Here is a 19865-nt window from a genome sequence, read left to right on the forward strand (position 1 = left end):
ACATTAGAAATCTCTGCTGTTGAAAGTTAAGGGATTTCCTCTTATTTACATTTCAGTTTTTAGTTCGCATGAATACCATGTTCTTGTTCTTTGCATTATCCTCTTTTAGAACCTCCTTTGAAAAGTCATGACAATGAATTGGTGTTTTACGAAACCTTAAAATTCTCAGAAGGGACTTATCTTTTCATCGCAGTGTGTATCCCTCGTATGATTTTCATCCTGTACAGGCTTTTCATTTCATACAAATAATTTACATTTAATTCAATTAAGTTTATGATCTTGAAATGATGACACACATATCCATCGTCTAATATTTTTCAATAAAACCTCCTTGATCGCCTTTTTAAAGCATTAACTGAGATTGTCCGTTTATGGCGCTGATGAATACAAAGCAATTTTTCTGGCGAGTGTTACGATACTTGGGACAGTGAGTTCCCAAACATTTCAGCACACCGAGCTTACATGTGTGATTCTTCTAAGTGGGTTCTAATGTTTCTATAACCCGATAAAATGCTATTTGTTTTGTAGCCACTTTTTAAAAAGTACTTTGTGTGCTGAAAACAAGTTCAGAAATTCAAAGCAATTTATGTGAAGTCATATTATCCTTACATCAGTATCAATTAATTGCTTTCAAGAAAATGTTGGTAAATCTCTGTGAGAAATAAAACATACAATTGTTTATGCTCTGTAAGTCAAAGTGTAAAACAAAAAAACTCATTGCTTATGTTCTTGTGATTTGCATGATCTGGTACAGTGACAGTTATACGTTGTCCTTTCAGATGTTTGCTAGTATTTAGGAGAAATTTGGGATGACCTTGGGATGATCTCTCTAAGTCCAGCTGCTTAACTCTAAATTCTATTTAATAACAGTTTGTGAAATCAGCACATCTCCTTGGAACTCTCCCGTGGGTTGCAAGTGATCAAACAGACAAAGCCATAATGACAGGACAGTTAGATTGGTTTAACAGAAAGGGAACTGTGGAGACGTTCATGAACAACTATGAAACTGTGCATTGGGAAGGCCATATCCTTTTTATTAAAATCGCCACAAATACAAAAGCATCACTGAACTAAAAATACATCATATACGTATATTCTCATATTCTTAGAAACTTATCACAGGTTTATTGGCTTTCCATCTTATCACATGTCATATCTCGAAAACATTAAATAGAAACAAAAGTCTCCATGCAATTTTCAGATGAAAAACATTCTGTGCATTTTCAATTTGTGTGTTTTCATTTAGATGGTTGAAAGGGTTTGCTAACAACTGTTTCCCAATTTAGGCTTTCTGGCCATGGGAGTGACATGTCCTGTGTCATGTAGAATTTGATAGCTTGTAATGTCCATTTAAATTTCAAGTGTATCTTGCCTTCTCTGTAGCAAGAGCCAGCCTGCGGATATTGGATATACAACCAGCTGCAGCTTCCTGGAGATCCTGGTCAGGGGACCCAACCATATCCAGTAGAAGCTGTCACACATAAGGAGGAGAAGAAGGGACACAAGAATAAAAACATTAATCTAAAGACATAAAGTTAGGCTAGGAAAATAATTTTCAATAGTAAATTTTTTTAAAACCACCAAAAAAGCATAAGAAATTCCATTTAAGCAAATACGAATATAAACAGTGTTTAATCTGATACAGGAATTCCTCATGCACTTCTTACCTTTCTGGAGCTGAATTAGACTCCTTCCTCCCCACTTTCTCTGGGTATCTAACTGCTATTTTTGGGTCTGCTTCTGAAATTTCTCTTGCATCTTTTCTGTCTTTTCCACCTCTCAGAACAAGCCAACAGCATACCATGCTTAGACTAGTAGGGCATCCACTTAGGTTTAATCTCTCTGAGTTCCAATCCACCTGATCATGTCACAACCTCATTATATCAGTCACTTAATAGGGACTCTCAGTGCCAACTAACTAGAGCTGATCTATTAACTAGTCCTTGAAGGGTTTGTGCACTCTGGCCTCAATGCATTTCCAGCTATTCATCTTTCTCCTCTTCTCCAAGATCATAACTTTCCCACTTCTCTTGGCTTTACTGATGCTATCCCCTATCTAAAATGCCTTCCCATCCCCTTCTCTGGCTTGGTCAATTTTATCCATCTTTCAAAACAGACCTAGCCAACTTTTCCACGAAGCCTCCAAGATTTCCATCAAACTAAAGGCCATTTATTCCTCATCAGGCTGTCAGTAGCAGTTTACTCAAATGTCTGTTGCTACACGTATTTTTCCCTTTTCAACAGATAATTGGCTTAATGCTTTCTGTCCTTCTTTAGATTCTAAATGCTTAAAGAAACGTACAGTATCTAATGCATAGAAGACAAACAAATGAATTAGAACATTTAAAATCTAGCAATTATGATTCTAATTAATAATCCTGGTAAAAGATTTTTTAAAAGTAAATTTGAATCACATATTTTTTTACCCAATAGCATTTGAGTGCAAATGTGGATGATGCCAAAAAACGAGGATGATTTGATAAGCAAAGAAATCTTACTAAGAAAAATATCGTGAGATGTCTTACATATGCCAGGCTTAGGGTGTGGCTTTTACTCTATAGGTAATAAAAAGAAGTTATTTAAGCACTTTACTCAGGGGAATGACATGATCATATTTGTATTTTAGAAAGGTAGCTCTTACAGCAAATTATATAGACTGTAGAGAAAAGAGGAGGAAGGGTACTGTATTACTTCATGTAGAGGTGACAGGATGGAATAAAAGGTAAGGATAGTGAGGAAGGAACAAATTCAAGCGATATTTGGGATGAAATAACTCTTCAATAAATGGCCCCAGAACAACTGCTTATCCAAATAGAAGAAAATAAAAATGGTAATCTCACATCATACATAAATAGCAATTCCAGATGGATTAATGATGTTGTAGGAGTCTCTTCTTGGTTCGACTAAAGACAGGGTCCTTGTCACAAGGCCATGAAAAATTAGGCTCACAGACAATTTGAAGGGGGAGAAAAATGGAATTTATTGGGCAAAATGGGGGAAAAAAGGGAAACAGGGACCCTCCGCAAAGCCAGAGTCCCTGTGGGTGCACTTCCTGACTCGCAGATTGAATCCCAGCTATCACCCAGGAAGAGGAGGGGTCAGGCTCCTGCCTGCTGCAAACAGCATGAACTTCTGTGGCTCCACCCCAGTGCACATTCCTCCCAGTGCGCAGGCCATTTGAAGTCTCTGGGGACCCCTTCCCACCCGGCTGTCTCAATGAGATTAAATAAGAAAGGAACAATGCAAAACATTTAGAAGGTTGTATATGAGAATATCTTGTTCAAATTGGGTCACTGAAGGATGTCTGCCCTCTCAGTTCCTTGGCCTGCCATTGTCACTGATCTTCACACTTCAGCCTTCCACCTTCAGAGTTACATCTGGGCCCTGATTTTTCATCACTTTCAACAGTCTGACCTCCAAACTCTCTGACCACAATGTCTCCTCCCACGATTTGGCTATGCAACCATCTTACTTGTTTGTTCTCATCATGATCTCTTGTCCATGGGCTCACATACTTTTCCTTTAACCATCTTCCGTCTTTGCTTCCTCCATAACCAGCTTAGATTGCATAGTCCGTCTTTTGAATCATTCTCTTATCAGTTTCTTAAACCTCCTTACAACATCCCTCCAGGAAAACCATAACTGTCCATAAATCCAACTCTGTTCTTCCCTGTGCCTTCACCAATAACTGAGTCCTGCGGGAGGCATATGTCAACAACAAGGCAAATCCATCCTCTATCAGTTCAACCTCAACTGGATTCTCATTCACTGCCCAGCAATCAAAATTTGTGTCCCTCTCATTAGGTTACTTTCCCTTTCCAATGCCTATTTTAAATCTTCCTTCTTCTTCAATCTTCAGTTCTTCTTTTTAGCCCCCATTTCCAGAAGATGACCAATAAGGTCTCCTTCATAAACTCGATCGAAGCCATTAGACAGCAACAACTCTACCTAAAACGGCAACCATGCCAGCGTCTTAGCAGATCTTTTTATCCTACCTTCCAGTTACAATGGCTCTCTCCTATCCAAGGCCCACCATCCACTTGTATTCTTCATTCATTCTTCTTCTTAGGACATTTTACTACCAAATACTCCCTGTTTCTCTTCTACTTTAGCTTTCACCTCTTCCTTTCTAATGATTCCATTATCATTTAAACACGTCTTACACATTAAAAATAAAACAAAACAAAAAGACACCACTTTGACCCCATTTTCTTCCCTTCATAGCCAAATTTCTTTAAAGAGTTGTCTGGAATTCCTATCTCCAGTCTTAAATTCCATCCCACTGACTCCAGGCTGCTGTCTGCCTTCAGCTCTCCTCTGAAATAACCCTCTCAGAGGATGTCAGTAACTTCCTTCCATGTGGCTAAGAGTAGTGGACACTTAGGAGTTTTCATCTTATTTGACCCCTTAACAGCATTTGATATAATTGGCCACTTCCTCCTTCTCTGCCACTGGCTTCTTCTACCGTACTCCCCTGCTTTTCCTCGTATCCATTCATTCTCATCTTCTCAATCTTCATCCATGGCTCTGTCTGCTTCCCCCAAACAAAAATTGTTAGAGTTCATCAGAACAAATTCCCCTTCTGTTTTCATTCTGTTCCCCCTCCCTAGATGACATCTTTCACTACCTGAATTCAAATGGCATTCATATGGAACCATCTTCTAAATTTCTATCTCCACCCCAGAAACCTCTTTGGAATGGAACACTTCATATCCAACACTTCTTAGCCATCTCCACTTGGAAGTCTCACAGCCACCTCAAGCTTAATAGATTCCAAATGAAATTTTTTATTTTTTCTATATAAACATGAATCTCTTTCCAAGTATTTTCCTGTATCCATAATAGATGTTATCACTTAGTTGTTCAAGACGGAAATCTGCGTGCCTCACACTCACTCCCACCCTCATCTCCCCTATGCTGCATCCAACTGATTATCATATTCTTGTGATTCAGCTGCCTACACATATTTCAAAGTCATTCACTTCTCTTTATTGCTATTGTCATTCACCCCAGTAAAGCCTACTTCCCACTGTCCCTGCACCCTGTCTTGTCCCTGTCTGATGAACTATTCATACTGTATCTAGAGTAATTGCCTAAATTGTGAAATTCACTAATAAGATACAATGTTTTTGAGAAACAGGAAGAAATAAGACAGGATCAATCTTCTGAGATTCAAGAGAAAGGAAGATTCTGTTCTGTATGAGGGAAACAGGGAAGTTTGGAGGGGCTCATGCCTTGGGAGTTTTGTATCATTCCTTTTCTCCAGCATCGTTCAATATCCTAGGCATAACACAGAGGAAATAGATTATAGGACTGTGATTCATTTGAACAGCCATATGGTCTGTGCTGGGCTGGAAGGGAAGTGAAAACAGGAGGCTACTGATCACTGGGAGAATTAGGAAGTGAGGCCTCAACAATGCAGGAAAACAGTTTAGGTGGGACCAAAGCATAGGAAAAGGGTGAAAATAAGACATTCTCATCTGAGAATGAGATATTTGGAGTTTAAGATTTTACAGATGAAGTTCCTTTGAGTATTGACAAGATCCATGGTATGACCATGGGAATGTAGGTCAGTATAAGATTGTTATGCAGTTTTTTGTTTGTTTGTTTGTTTAGACAAGTCTCGCTCTTTTGCCCAGGCTGGAGTGAAGTGGTGTCATCTTGGCTCACTGCAACCTCCGTCCCCTGGGGTTCAAGTGATTCTCCTGCCTCAGCCTCCTGAGTAGCTGGGATTACAGGCGTGTGGCACCACACCCAGCTAATTTTTGTATTTTTAGTAGAGACGGGGTTTTGCCATGTTGGCCAGGCTGATCTCTAATTCCTGACCTCAGGTGATCCACCCGTCTCGGCCTCCAAAAGTGCTTGGATTACAGGCATGAGCCACCGTGCCCGGCCTGTTATGCAGTTTTATACATACACACAGATGTATGCATGCATGCATACACACTTTTATATTCTCATTCTCCCTCTCTCACTGTAGGAAGAGGAAATAATGTAAAAAATAACGAGCAGGAAGAACAGAGTAGCCACTCTCTTTGGTTATCCTAACACATGGCTTACATGTCTTTGTATAGCTATTCACACTTAAATCCCTTTCCTAGCTCACAACTTTTAACTCATGATCTATGGTTCAGAATTTTTATTGATCTCTTTGTTTATACCTCACTTTACTGTATAGACAGTTAAAATTCTTTTCAAAAATTTTGGATATATTTCGAGGGTACAAGTGCAAATTTCTTACATGCATATATTGCACAGTGGTGAAGTCTGGGCTTTTAATGCACCCACCACCCATATAGTGAACACTGCACCCAATAGGTAATTTTTTAACCCTCATTCCCCCTCCCCATTTCCCATCTTTTGGGGTCTCCAATGTCTATTATTCCATGTGTACCCCTTGTTTAGCTCTCACTAATAAGTGAGAACATGCAGTTTTGACTTTCTGTTTCTGAGTGATTTCACTTAGGATAAGGGCCTCCAGTTCCATTTATGTTGCTGCAAAAGACATGATTCATTCTTTTTTATGACTGAGTAGGCATTCTATGGCATATATGTACCACATTTTAAAAATCCAATACTCTATGAATGGGCACTTAGGTTGATTCCATATCTTTGCTATTGTGAATAGTGCCGCAATACACATACAAGTGCAGGTATGTTTTTGACACCGTGATTTCTTTCCCTTTAGGTATATATCCAGTAGGGGGATTGCTGGATCAAATGGCTGTTTACAGACAGTCTTTAAAGCAGATACAACTTTATGAAATTTAGACGATTTCTTCTAGATACATACTTCGCACCATTCACCATTTTTCATACTCACATGGCTTTTACTGACCTCCTCGTAGCCCACATCCACCATGGTAACCTTTGTTATCCTGGAGTATGGAGTGCCAACTGTAAGCCTGGAGATTTCACTCTTCCACATCACTACCAAATAATTGAATGTGAGCGCTGCCAGCCTGGATGCCAATGGATCCTGATATTCATATGTCTCTATGCCCAATGGGCCTGTTTTTTCCTCACTTCTGCTTTCTGATCTTTAAATTATTTCTTATATCAAAACAAAACGTTCCAACTAATTTCTTGGTAAATTATATAATCAAGGGATTGACTTGATCCTTTGATTACATAATTGTATAACCCCTCGATTATAGGATTTTAAAGTTATTAATTTCCCTTTTACCTGAGTTATTTTCTCACTCCTTCTCCCAAGTAGATGATTCATAAGGGTTCATGAGTCCCTGTCTTGACTCCATTGTTATACAAAATATAGCAGAAAAACTCTCCCAACAGTCAATCACTTTAATAGACAATAATTATTACTTTATGAATTTTGTTATTACAGCCAGGTCATCACAATGAATAATGCCAGTTACCTGTAGGTGTTTCTGGGCCCTGGATTAGAGGACCTAATCCTATACTAAGAGCTTGATTTCCATACGCAAATGAGATTTAGAAAAAAATCTAGTCTCCAATTGCCCTATATTTGTTGTTTAGGTAATAGGAGGAGAATAGATTGCTAGCTACAGCAACTCCACCTAATATCTACCTCTCATGGCCACCCGCCTCGCTTCTGCTCCAGTCCTTGGCCTCCCCGCTCATAGTTCTGGTCATTGTTGCTTTTTAAATCTGGAAAGAAGTGAAATAAAGTCCTAGTCCATAGCTCAACTACCTGAGAAGGAATCTAGATGCCTTATACTGTTCACTCCTTCCTAGAAAAATCACTATCAAACCATAGTCAAGGGTATGGGTTTTGAGGTCACAGCATCTTGGATCTGTACTCTGACTCTCCCAGTCACTGGGCACATCACTGAACCTCTTAACCCAACCTTCTCATATGTGTAAAGGGATCACATACCTCTGGGGGTCACTGCAAAGATGAATTAAACATACATCTTTAATAGATGTTTGAACACCTGTATTCACAGTCTCTTCCTTTCTTTACGTCCTTTGATCTTTCCCCTTCCTATTTTGTCTGATGATTCCCCCAGCCTTCTGCAAACCCAAGTCTGCAGTGTGTGGGAGGGAAGAGTGGAGGAGCACAGGTCGGGGGAATTTACACTGGCAAGGGCAGAGGACTCCTTATGGGACAGAAAAGAGCAACAGAAATAGAAGGAATGAAAAAGGGGGAAAGAGAACTTCACCCTGTTTTGAAGAGTTTGAGGGGTTTGGAGTAGAAAGATTATTTTAAAGGCAACTCTGGGGTGAGAGAGATATACTATGAAAGATTAAGGACTTAAAGCTTAATAGTGCATGATTGTACTCTCTATCTTCGAGAGAGTAAAACTAGGATTCAAATTACTTTCAGGCCGGGTGGATGCCTGTAATCCCAGTGCATTGGGAGGCCAAGGCAGGAGGATGGCTTGAAGCCAGAAGTTCAAGACCATCTTGGGCAACATAGTGAGACCCTGTCTCTTAAAAAAAAAAAAAAAAAAAAAAAAAAAGTTAACCAGACATAGGTGTGGTCACGTGCGCCTGTAGTCTAGGTAGCTGGGTGGGTCTGAGAGGCTGAGACGGGAGGATGGCTTGAGCCCAGCTCTTCAAGGCTGCAGTGAGCTATGATTGCGCCATTGCTGTGACCTCAAAACCCATACCCTTGACTATGGTTTGATAGTGATTTTTCTAGGAAGGAGTGATCAGCACAATGCATCTAGATTTAAGAGACCTTATCTCTTTAAAAAAAAAAAAAAGGAAAGAAAAAAATACTTTCAAGTGCTATTGGGTTGCTAGGCTTTTGTTTCTCTGACTGCATTTTTAGATCAGGACTGGACCAAGAGGCAGCCTGGCTTCATATGGGTTATGCATTTGAATCGCATAGTCCAGTGCCCAATACAAAGCAAGCGTTCCATGAATGCTACTCACGCTCATGGTGATTCTTTTGCCAGTTCAGAAGTCTGGTTCTGGTGTTATTTCCTGGAGGCCTGGCCTGGTTAGTTTGGAAGGAAGAGGGAATTTTGGCCCAGAGGTCAGTCTAGCTTCTGTCAGCACCTGCTCCAGGCCCTGCCTTGTCGCTGGCTGACCTCCATGGACACCAATGGCCCAGGCTCCACATGCCACTGGCTGCTGCCACCCTGTACGGCTCTCTTGGAAAGGAAACCCTTGACCTGATGCCTGTCAAAATCTAGCCTGCGTTTCGCCCATCCTCCCTCAGACCTGGTCATTGTTCTGCAGTCTCTGCTTGGGCTTTCTAAGAGTCGGTTGTATTTATTCCCAAACTCTTGATCCAGTTACATAATTTCCCACTGCATAAACCAATGGACTGTGAGTGTCAAGCATATGAGTCATAATGTTTGGCATACAGAAAGCTGCTGTGTGTTGGCTATTCCCGGAGTCAACCAGATAAGGGTTGCTGGAAACAGCATCTCCTGTGTGTTCACAAGACTTACGTTAGAAGAAAACTTTTAATCTAAGCAGGTACCCTTTTTATGACTCTATTCTATAAATTAAATTTTTCTTTACCTGAGTAACTTCTAGTCCTGAGTGTACCAAGAGGATTACTCTTTGTTGGGGAATTTATTTTGCCTTAAGTTTCTCACATTAACCACAAGGCTTCATTCTATATCCCATATGCTGGTTGGTTAAATTTTAGCTTAACAATTAAACCAATGAAGCCCAGCAACTTTTTTTTTTTTTTTTTTTTTTTTGATGGAGTTTTCCTCCTGTTGCCCAGGCTAGAGTGTAATGGTGTGATCTCAGCTCACTGCAACCTCTGACTCCCGGATTCAAGCCATTCTCCTGCCTCAGCCTCTGAGTAGCTAAGATTACAGGCATGCGCCACCACACCGGCTAATTTTGCATTTTTAGTAGAGACAGGGTTTTACCATGTTGGTCAGGCTGGTTTCAAATTCCTGATCTTAAGTGATCTGCCCACCTCAGCCTCCCAAATTGCTGGGATTATAGGCGTGAGCCACCGTGCCCAGCCAGCATTCCACTATTTTGAAGAACTATGATTTATTCTTTACTGCTGAATTTAGCCTGCTCTGTCCATTTTACTTAGCTAAGTACAGTCTCAATCAAGGGTGTAGAATTGGAAGTCTAGAATTTTCTGTGTGCTCCGGGTATGAATATTTGAGAAGTACCCCCAAGACCCTCTTTGAGTTTTGCCGCTAACTAACTGTATTGTTTTTCCCGAGTTTTACTTTATTTTCAATAACTGTTACTCATTGCTTTGTTATACACCCAGAGGGGCTAGGCATCTAAAGGTGTTTTACAAATTGAATAAGGTTATGTTACTGTCCCAAACCACCATCTGAAAAATATGTAGCATATATGTGTCTTGGTTTTGAATTGGGCTCAGGAATATGTTTTCATTTTCCTACGAGCCTCACAAGCAAACTAAGGCACTAATTTCTTTAAACTAAGGCACTAGTTTCTTTAAAACTAGCAAATACTCGCACAACAGAAAGTTGGTACAAAATCCTGAATTTGATGTGGAGCTAATATAAATGAAAGTGCAGTTCGTGTTTTCAAATCACTAACACACGGAGCAAGGTGAGGGCAGTTTCTAATCTCTTTGTCATAATTACATAAAAGGAATAGTTTTCTCAGGAAAGTGAACTACAAATTTGGTACAAGTGATTATGAAATTGGTATACACTTTTTTGGTATCTATTTTTTTATCTATAGACTTTCTTTCCAACTATAAAGACATGTTTTAATATTCTAAGGGGCTTACCTTTTTGAAGTCCTTGTTCCTTTCAAACTTTTCTCTTTTTAATCCTCCGCCTCCCCTAAAACACACCTAAAGACTTTAAATTTATTGGGAGTTTCATATATACACTGAAGGAAAACTAGCCCCCACGCTTTTGAAAACTTAACTGCACAGAGCACTTTAAAACATCATTCAAACAAATAACTTTTTACAACACTGGAGTGAACAAGAACGTGGGGACAGGCACAAGGACTGGTTTGTAGATTGGGTTAACACCAATGCTTCCTCTGGTGTAAAAGGCTTTGATCTTAAGGTTCATGCCCTCGGCATGCAGCTGTGACCCACAGTTCACATCTCCTGGAAGGTGTGACAAAGGTAGCATGGGAATTGGGTCTGCATTCAATTTTTACATTTCCATTTAACAGTTTATGATTTTATATAATATTTCAGTTGTATGAAAAGTATGTACCAATTTGAGTGATAACAGATTTTCTTGTGGTTTGACTTGACATTGTTTGGGTGAACACAGCCTAGAATCAGGAGTTTTAATTAGAGCTGGATGAGCTCTGGAATGCCTACCAGGCTTAGGGGTTTTCCCAAAAGATCTTAAGTGCCCAGAGCTGATTTGAACTGGGAACCCTTCTGACATTCTCCTGTTTACAAGGCATTGCAGTGACGTTGTAGCACTCATGCACAACCCAGTAACAAGAAATGCCTTTGGACTGTGTCCGCCTATGGAATGGCTTCCCAACTATTTGAGTTGGCTGGGGTTCTGCTGCTCTTCCAACAGAGGCTCCACTGCAGTTTCTTGCACATCCAGACTCTGAGCCTCGGTAATTCATTTCACATGACAGCTCACCAAAGCCGGGGGCCTCAAAACATATTTAACATTTGCTGGCTGGAGCAAAACCTTTGGTTCTATTTGGTCAGTGAAGGGAGTCAAGGGGCTTGCCTTTATTGGTGTCTGTCCTCCTCAAGGTGATAGGTGTGTGTGTGATCTGAGGTCCATGTCTGCAAAACTTGGATCTGCTTATTGGATCCAGTGCTCTTTCTGTGTGGACATTCCTAAGTTTATCCTCTGGGTTTTCTTCCATGTTTCTTCACGAACTTTCCACTAGAGAGCTTTAATGCCCAAACAGACAGACAGGAGACTCGCACATTGGGTCTATAGTATTGGGAGTAGAAATGGGATATATAATAGAGAGAGCCCTATTGACTTTCTTCTAAAAATGCTAGAAATGGAGAATGACTTGATGACTGGCTGGGTCAGGGAATTGTGGGACATTGCTCAGCACCCTATATCAGAGGAAAAGGAAGTGATAAGTTTCTGCCTGCCCAGGGCAGAAGCTCATGGTGTCATTTGGAATGGCCTCAAGTTGCTCTTGGATTTTTATTCCTATTAAATATAAAGAATATTGGCACACATAGGGGCTTCCTACATAAGAATGCTAAAGAAATAATAGGATAAGGATGGATTAAAAAAATCTATGTGGATAAGATTGTTTAGAATTGCATTTTGCTATTGGTTAGATCAAAGTGTAGATGGCAATTCTCTGGAAAAAAATATTCCCATAGATTATGCAGTAAAGTGGCTATGAGTTTATGCTTTGAGTTCAGACAGTCTGAATTTGAATCCTGACTTCACATCTTCCTAACTGTATGTGACCTGAGGTAACTCTCTCTAAACCTTAGTTTTCTTATCAGTAAAATTAGGATTTTTAATAGTACTTTCCTAATAAGATAGATATGGGATTAAATGGGAAACGTAATGTAAAGTGCTCATGCTATGTGCCCCTAAATTATAGTTGTTATTATTATTACTCTTGTTATATTGACTTGGAGACTGTTGTTGACCAGAGGCATTAATATTTGCTGTTAGCTCATTTTCTCTGCTACAGTTCCTGTTGGACTGATCCAAATAAGCAATTTTAATCTAGTTACATTGAAAATTAATACATTAACATAAGGTTCATGGTGTCCCGTTAGATAGTCAAAAACAAAAGTCAAGGCATTAGAACTAACACATCTCTATGTTCATAAAAATAGTTCAGGCCGGGCGCGGTGGCTCACGCCTGTAATCCCAGCACTTTGGGAGGCCGAGGCGGGCGGATCACGAGGTCAGGAGATCGAGACCATCCTGGCTAACACGGTGAAACCCCGTCTCTACTAAAAATACAAAAAATTAGCCGGGCGAGGTGGCGGGCGCCTGTAGTCCCAGCTACTCGGGAGGCTGAGGCAGGAGAATGGCGTGAACCCCAGGGGGCGGAGCCTGCAGTGAGCCGAGATTGCGCCACTGCACTCCAGCCTGGGCGACAGCGAGACTCCGTCTCAAAAAAAAAAAAAAAAAAAAAAAAAAAAATAGTTCAATAAGTTCTTATTCAAATTACTGTTTTCTCTTGTATCAGTCTCTAGTCTAGGAGAACATCAAATCCTGCTATGGATTGAATTTTGTCCCCTTCTAAACTCATGCTGAAACTTAATTGACATTGTAACAGTATTAAGAAGTGGGGCCTTTAAGAAGTGAATAAGACCTGAGGGCTCTGCCCTTATGAACGGATTAATGCTGTTACAGGGGGGTTGGGCTCCTAATAAATGGGTAAGTTTGGCCCCCATCTGCTCTCTGTCTCATGTACTTGCTTCCACCTACTGCCCTTCTGCCATGGAATGACCCTTGACAGATGCTGGTGCCATGCTCTTGAACTTCCCAGCCTCTAGAACTGTGAGAAATAATTTTTTTTCCTCATAAATTACCCAGTCTATATTCTGTTATAGCAGCAGAAAATGGACTAAAACCCCACAGGTAAGCAAAGACATGAATTAAATTATCTAGAACGATCCATAGATCTCTTTATTTGAAACAATCCATAGGTTTCCTCCAGACTGTAAGAAAATTGCCCTCTTGATATAAACTCTGAATATAGTGCCTGCATTTAACTTGGGTTCTCTCCCATTGGCATGAGATTGAAAATCTGTTGGCTGTCTGTATTCTGTTGTTAGATCCATTTTCTGAGAGACTATTTGGAAATAGATTTCTTGGGGAAAGGTTGTATGTATAAAATAGTCAAACAGTGGAACAAGCTGGATTTTACTGAGATTTCCCCAGAATTTTAAGTCTCCAGCCCTGACCTGAACTCTAGACTATTCAGCTTCCTACTTGACATCTCCACTTGGATATAAAAATGACACCTCAAAAGGGACAGAGCTGAACTCCTAATCCTCCCCTTTCAAACCTTATTTCCCACAGCCTCCCCTACTCAGCTGATGCCAACTCATCTCTCTAGTTGCTTGGGCTGAAAATCTTGGTGTATCCTTGACTCCTCTCTTTCTCTCATAGCCCTTATCCAAGCCATGAACAAAATTTGTTGGCTTTACCTTCAAAATAAACCCAGAATCTGTCCTGACATCTTCCCATTACCATCACTGGTCTGAGCCACTACTATCTCTTGAACTGAATTTAATGATTAGGCCAAGTTCTCAATACGCAAAAAGATCTGGAGCTGACTTTAAAGGTGCAGCCTAGCGAAAACAAAAATGCTCAGATTCAGAATGTAATAAAACCTTTCTTTCTCTTCAAGGGGAGACAGCAGAGAAGAGAAAAGACAACTTAGTGATCTGGGAGGATGGTAGCCTCCTTTAGAAATGGCCATGAGTCTTTTTAAGAACTGACATGCCTAATACTGAACTCAGAAGTTGCTGGAATTGCTGCAATGTATATGTCCTTCCATCACTTCAAAACTTTGACTACTTCTGCTTTGTACACAATGACCTTATGAAAATGTTTTGGTTTGGTTGTTGTCTTCATGACTAAGCTATTAATGAGGAGGACAGGTAAAAAGGGTTGAGTTCCAAATCTAGGTCAGCTCCACATAGGATAGGGACAACAGGTACAGGAACAAGACAATCCATAGCCTGGATAAGGTTATCAGAAGCTGGAGATGTCTGTGGCAATATTTGGAATCCTTTACAAATTAGACTTTGCCTAGGGCATGGAAAGCAGAAAGAGACTTGAGCCAATGTTTCCTACACAATAAGTGGAACAGTAGCCCTTGTTAACACCTGAGCTACTGAATCTGTTTTTCTAATATATGAATAAAATCATAACTGAAAATGACACCTCATCCTCATAGAAAACAAACAAGACAAAAATATTTTCCTCCAAGCACCTCGCCTCTAACTTCAGACCTTGACCTCCTCAACTCCATTGATCTTCACTTCAATTCCACATTAATTAATCAACCATTATTATGGTCATACCCGGACCTTAGTAATACCAGTGACTGCTTCATCTCTGCCTCTCGTTGCTGTCTATCAGAAATTCCAGGTTCTGGAGGACGCAGAATGGGATCAAGAACATCAAGAGGCACTGATCTACCAGTGCAGTCTCCCTGCTCTGGTCCACCATGACACCTGCTTTTCTGTCACCAGGTTTGACTCTCTGTTCTCTATCATTCTTCTCCTATAGTGATATTACAAATTGAAATCCTGGCTCTCAACCAGGCTTCCGGATCATGTACATCCATTGCAGCAATGGCACACACATTATGATCTCTAATTTCCATCGGCTCTCCGTGTTGCCCGGTCATCCACCCAGGTGTCTCTCTCATCAACTTTCTCCACAGCAGCTATTTAAAACCGGCTCCACTCTCCTCAAATTACCTAACCCACCACTTCAGTTCCCTCACTCTCAAGCATATGTCTTTGCCTCCTACTTGGTGGGGAAAATAGAAATCACGAAAAGGGAAGTGGCCCAACTCACTGCCACCACACGCACAGATTCCCGCTGCAAGTGCACCCGTCCTTTCCTCCTCCCATCTGTCATGTGGAAGAGGTGTCTCCTCCTGCCCAGGCTCATCTCCTTGCCCTCATGCTCTGCATCCTCCTGCCTCCCTCTCCACATCCTCTGGAAGCTGACTGCGCCATTAACCCCCCTCTTTCCGGTATTTTCACTGCCTCTTTCACCCTCCTTCCTGCTCTTGCCAATTAACATTTAAACATATCTGCTATCTCAGAACAGAAACATAACAAACAATGGAAAACCACCAAGACCTCCTTTACCTCCCCTTCCAGCTAGCATCCTCACTCTCCAGCTACCACTTTCCAGCTAACATCCTCACTCTCCTTCTCAGCCAAACTTTTCCAAGGGTGACCTCCACTTGCTGCCCCTATTTCCTCACTTCTTATTCAAGGCCATTCGTAATCGCTTTGCTATGCATCCAGGGGACACTTTTGGTTCTTGTCTTACATTACTTTTCAATAACACTTGTCCCATTGGTCATGCTCTTGTGCTTAAAATATTCTCTTCTCTTGACTTTGTGAAAATAACACTTTCCTGATTGTTTGTTAGTATTTTCACCTCTTTAATATTTAATTGCTTCTTTCCAGGAATCCCTTTCTTAACCCATTATGATATGACTCAGGACATCATGGTATGTCCTTCAACCTCATTTTTTTGTCTATACACCCTCCAAAGGAAATGTCATTCACTCTCATTATTTCATGAACTACTGCTCTCAAATCTGTGTTTTTAAGGACATATATACATAGCAGACACACACATACACACACACACACTATATATATATATATATATATATATATATATATTCCATGTTTCTGCTTTAAGTTTTCCAAGATGTTCAAAGCCATTGTGTCCCAAATGAGCTCTCATTTCCCCCCACAAGCAGATTTCTTCTCTCCTCCTTAAATCCTGCTGTCCAAGTCAGACATTTAGACATCATCACTCTGCCCTCTTCCCCAGGCATCACATCCAAAATGTCACAAACTCCTCTTGTTTTTACTTGTCAATTATCTCTTGAATCCACCCATTTCTCTTCATCTCCAGGGATATCATTTTAGTTGCAACCACCATTCTCTCTCCCTGGACGACTGCCTAACTCATCTTCCAGCCCCGTTCCCATCCATTCTCAAACCAGAGTAACTTCTAAAGGGTCAATAGGACCCACTGATTCTCCAGCTCAAAATATTTTAATGGCTCCCCAATGTCAAATTTTAATTCCCCAGAAAGGTTCACAGGGTCTTCGGCAGGCTCCAGTGATATTGTCCCCTTCTGTTCATCTTTAGCTTCTCTTCTTTTTTCTGTGACTATATATTACTTGTGCTACTTTAAAAGTTCTAGCAAGCGGATTGGCCAGAAGGAGATGCAGAGGAGATAAGGAGTCATCAGAGAGGAAGGGGAGAACCAGGAGGCCATGAAATCATAGAAACCAGTGAAAGGCAACACTTTAAGGAAATGGGGATGTCAATATTATAGTATGCCTCGGGGAGGTTAAATTCCATGAAAGATGAAAACAGTCCCTTGGATTCTGACATTTGAAAATCCTAGGGATCATTGATAGGGACATCTCTGAAGTTTCTAAGGCAAAAGTCAGAAGACAGTGAGCTGAAGAGCTAGGAGCAGCTGGGGCAAGGAGGCTCTTGAGAGAATGCTACTTCCCTGATATGATGATTTCCCCAGTGGGTGTGATCAACTGATAGGGAGTTAGGAGATGAGCAAGTAGGGAAAGGAAGATTAAGGCTAAATATGCAGAAGTGAGAGGGAATAGTCAGTGTCAGAACTTCCAGCTTCTGGAGAAGTCAAAATGAGATCACCATTACGGAGGATGGGAAAGGCCGGGAGAAGGAATATTCAAAGACCAGAAGGAAGATGATTAGACTGAAGGTAACTACAGGTAAGTTTGTAGGTGTGGGACAGGAAGTTGAGGTATTTTCTGGCTTTTACTTCATTTTCTTAAATATCAAAGGCAAATCCATCTGAGTAATATCCCTACTTAATGCAGACATATGGTTATGTTCATAATTTAACAAGGAAATATTTTTAAAGCAATAAAAGATATGCACCATTTATTAGAAAACAATTACCTTGATTATATAAAGAAGCTTTCCATGAAATAATTTTGTTTTGGTTTATAACTTTACTCTAGGAAATGCTAAGAATTTGTGTAATCTGCTGCAAAACTGTCAAATCTTACCAAGTAAGAAAAATTCAAAATTGTTTAATATAAGAAAAAAGCCAAACTGAGAATTCTCTAAATTATACCCATATTAAAAATGAATAATTAGTTCCACAGTATTCCTTAACATTAGAAAAAGTATAAGTTCCTAATGTTATGTTTGCCTTTATATGTATCTGTCTTCCAAAATGGGCACATTATTAGAAGAAATTCGAAACCAAAGACAAGCCAATATTTAAAATACATGATGGGATATAGAATTCATCCCTCATGTGGATAAAATTAGAACAGATATTATCCAGAAGAGATGAAGCCAGAGAATTAAAAAGGAAAAAAAAAGAAACAAAATCCTTTTGTTAAGCTATTTTCCTAATTTTATTTTGATTTTGGTTCAGCGTTCAAAAGCAGATTAATATAGAAAAAATAAAGTACAGGGCTGGAAAGAAGAGCACAATTTTTCTTCTTCGATGTCAAATAAATAGCTTTCCCTGCTCCTACTAAATCGGAACTAAACTCATAAAGATGAAAATAAATGACTAATTTCTTGGGAAATAACCTTAAGTGAAAGATTCTTTTGGTCCAGTAATTGCTTTTTTCAAACTCCCGTTGACTTAACCTCATTCTCAAGGCCTCCTTGGCCTTTCCTTCCATTTACCCTGTTGATATCAAGTGTATCTTCAGAGTCTGTCTTGTCATTTGCTACCAATTTGAGGAATGTTTTCCTTGTCTCATATAATTTTTGGAAGGCATATGTCAAATGTGGTTGTTATTTCTTTTTTATAACTTATTTCTAACAGGACTTGTCTAAGACCTTTAAAAATGAAACCTAAAACATATTATCGTAAAATTTCACAAAGCAATGTTTCTACCCACTCTGAAAAAGCCCCCTAATAATCCCCTAACATTTTAATAAGCAACTAGATATTAATTTGTCTTTTTGCTAAAATGTTATAAAATGATGCTTTTCAATTTCATCTATATAAGAACTTCACATTTCAGTGAAAGAAACTGAATGAGTTTTAGAACAGAATAATACTTCTTCCTCTCTGGCAAAGACTGTGTTCATTTCAGAGCCCATCTTACATGATTTTTGCCAACTTAGGTTTTCAGAGCTTCAGGACTGGCCCTAAGCAAGGTATTCAGGCAGTAATTAAAAAAAAAAAAATGTAAGCAGTGGAACCCATTTCTTTTTTCCCCCAGACAAAACTTAATTCTTCTATGAAATCCACATATATGTGAACATACATATGTAGGATAAAATGGAACGTCTGAACAGAAAGTAGGGCACAGGATGGTGGAACTTAGCTGTTCCTTCTTGCTCCCCATAGAGATCCTTGAAGTACCTTCTCCAACTCCATGATACTCTAAAAACTGTTCATCTTCATAATAGGAGTGGAGCCTAATCCTTGGTCTCCTCACCTCCTGGTTTCCCGGAATGTCTTTCTCACCACATAACACCTCCCCTTGCTGCTCACTCCTACCTGGTGACAGTAGCCTCCTCATGTTCCATTCATTCCACACAAATCTGCTCAATCTGCACTTACTCTTCTAACAATTGCCCCAAACCACTGCACCATAGTCCCTGAAGCTCTCATTCTCTCATTCTGAGAGTCTCAACTCGATACTTGGAAGAACACAGTTTAAACACATGCCTACCGAGTTTTATGTGGCTGATAGATAGCCTTGCTTAATCTTCCCAGATTTAAAATGTGTGTTTACAAATTTTAGAGAAGAGAGTTTTTCAGCCAAATCTTTAACTTATGAAATTTCAAATTATGTGGCAATATCATACGTGCATTTCAGGCAGCCTAGTGAAACAGTTCTATTTAGGAAGGTCTCCATTGGGGGCCCCCTAAAATGATACATGAAGAGCATAATTTTTATGTTATACTGACTCGTCTGAATATTCTCCCTGGAGCACTGGAGTGGATTGTATCTCTAAGCCTTTTCCAGGACCAACCCAGAGTTCCTGATGGAGATTCAATAAAGTCATTCCTTCAATACTGATCTTACTTTAATATCAGTTTGGATCTGGGGCACTGAAATGGCTTATTCATGCCAATACTTATTTTGTGTTAATATGGCTGTCTTCAGTGCACATCTTATACTTCTGGCAAGATTCTTTAAATAATTGTTTTTCTCTAGTACATCTTTTGGATAAGTTTGGCAGGTGGACAGGTCCTTTTTCCTTTGTTCTATCAGGTAGAGATACTGCTGATCAGCTGAGATGTGATGTTAAA

General features: G+C 39.9%; 1 protein-coding gene across 27 annotated transcripts in view, besides 1 other annotated feature; it reads right to left on the reverse strand.

Moving 5' to 3' along the window:
- ODAD2 (outer dynein arm docking complex subunit 2) overlaps positions 1014-19865 on the reverse strand; it is a 187508-nt gene continuing 168656 nt past the window's right edge. For all 27 annotated transcript variants that reach the window (XM_047425404.1, XM_024448052.2, XM_047425414.1 and 24 more), the window contains one exon: positions 1014-1471. In XM_047425404.1, the coding sequence (XP_047281360.1) occupies positions 1358-1471 (114 nt within the window). In that variant the 3' untranslated portion in view covers positions 1014-1357. The remainder of the gene's footprint in view (positions 1472-19865) is intronic.
- Positions 1287-1456: an enhancer, noted in NCBI's record as "experimental_12116 CRE fragment used in MPRA reporter constructs". NCBI's record gives its function as "activates a minimal promoter by MPRAs in K562 erythroleukemia cells, with activity observed for both the introgressed and non-introgressed 10:28101455 variant alleles {active_cell/tissue: K562}" and the evidence as "EXISTENCE:reporter gene assay evidence [ECO:0000049][PMID:34662402]".

The sequence above is a fragment of the Homo sapiens genome, chromosome 10 (genome assembly GCF_000001405.40).
Source record: "Homo sapiens chromosome 10, GRCh38.p14 Primary Assembly".
NCBI lineage: Eukaryota > Metazoa > Chordata > Mammalia > Primates > Hominidae > Homo > Homo sapiens.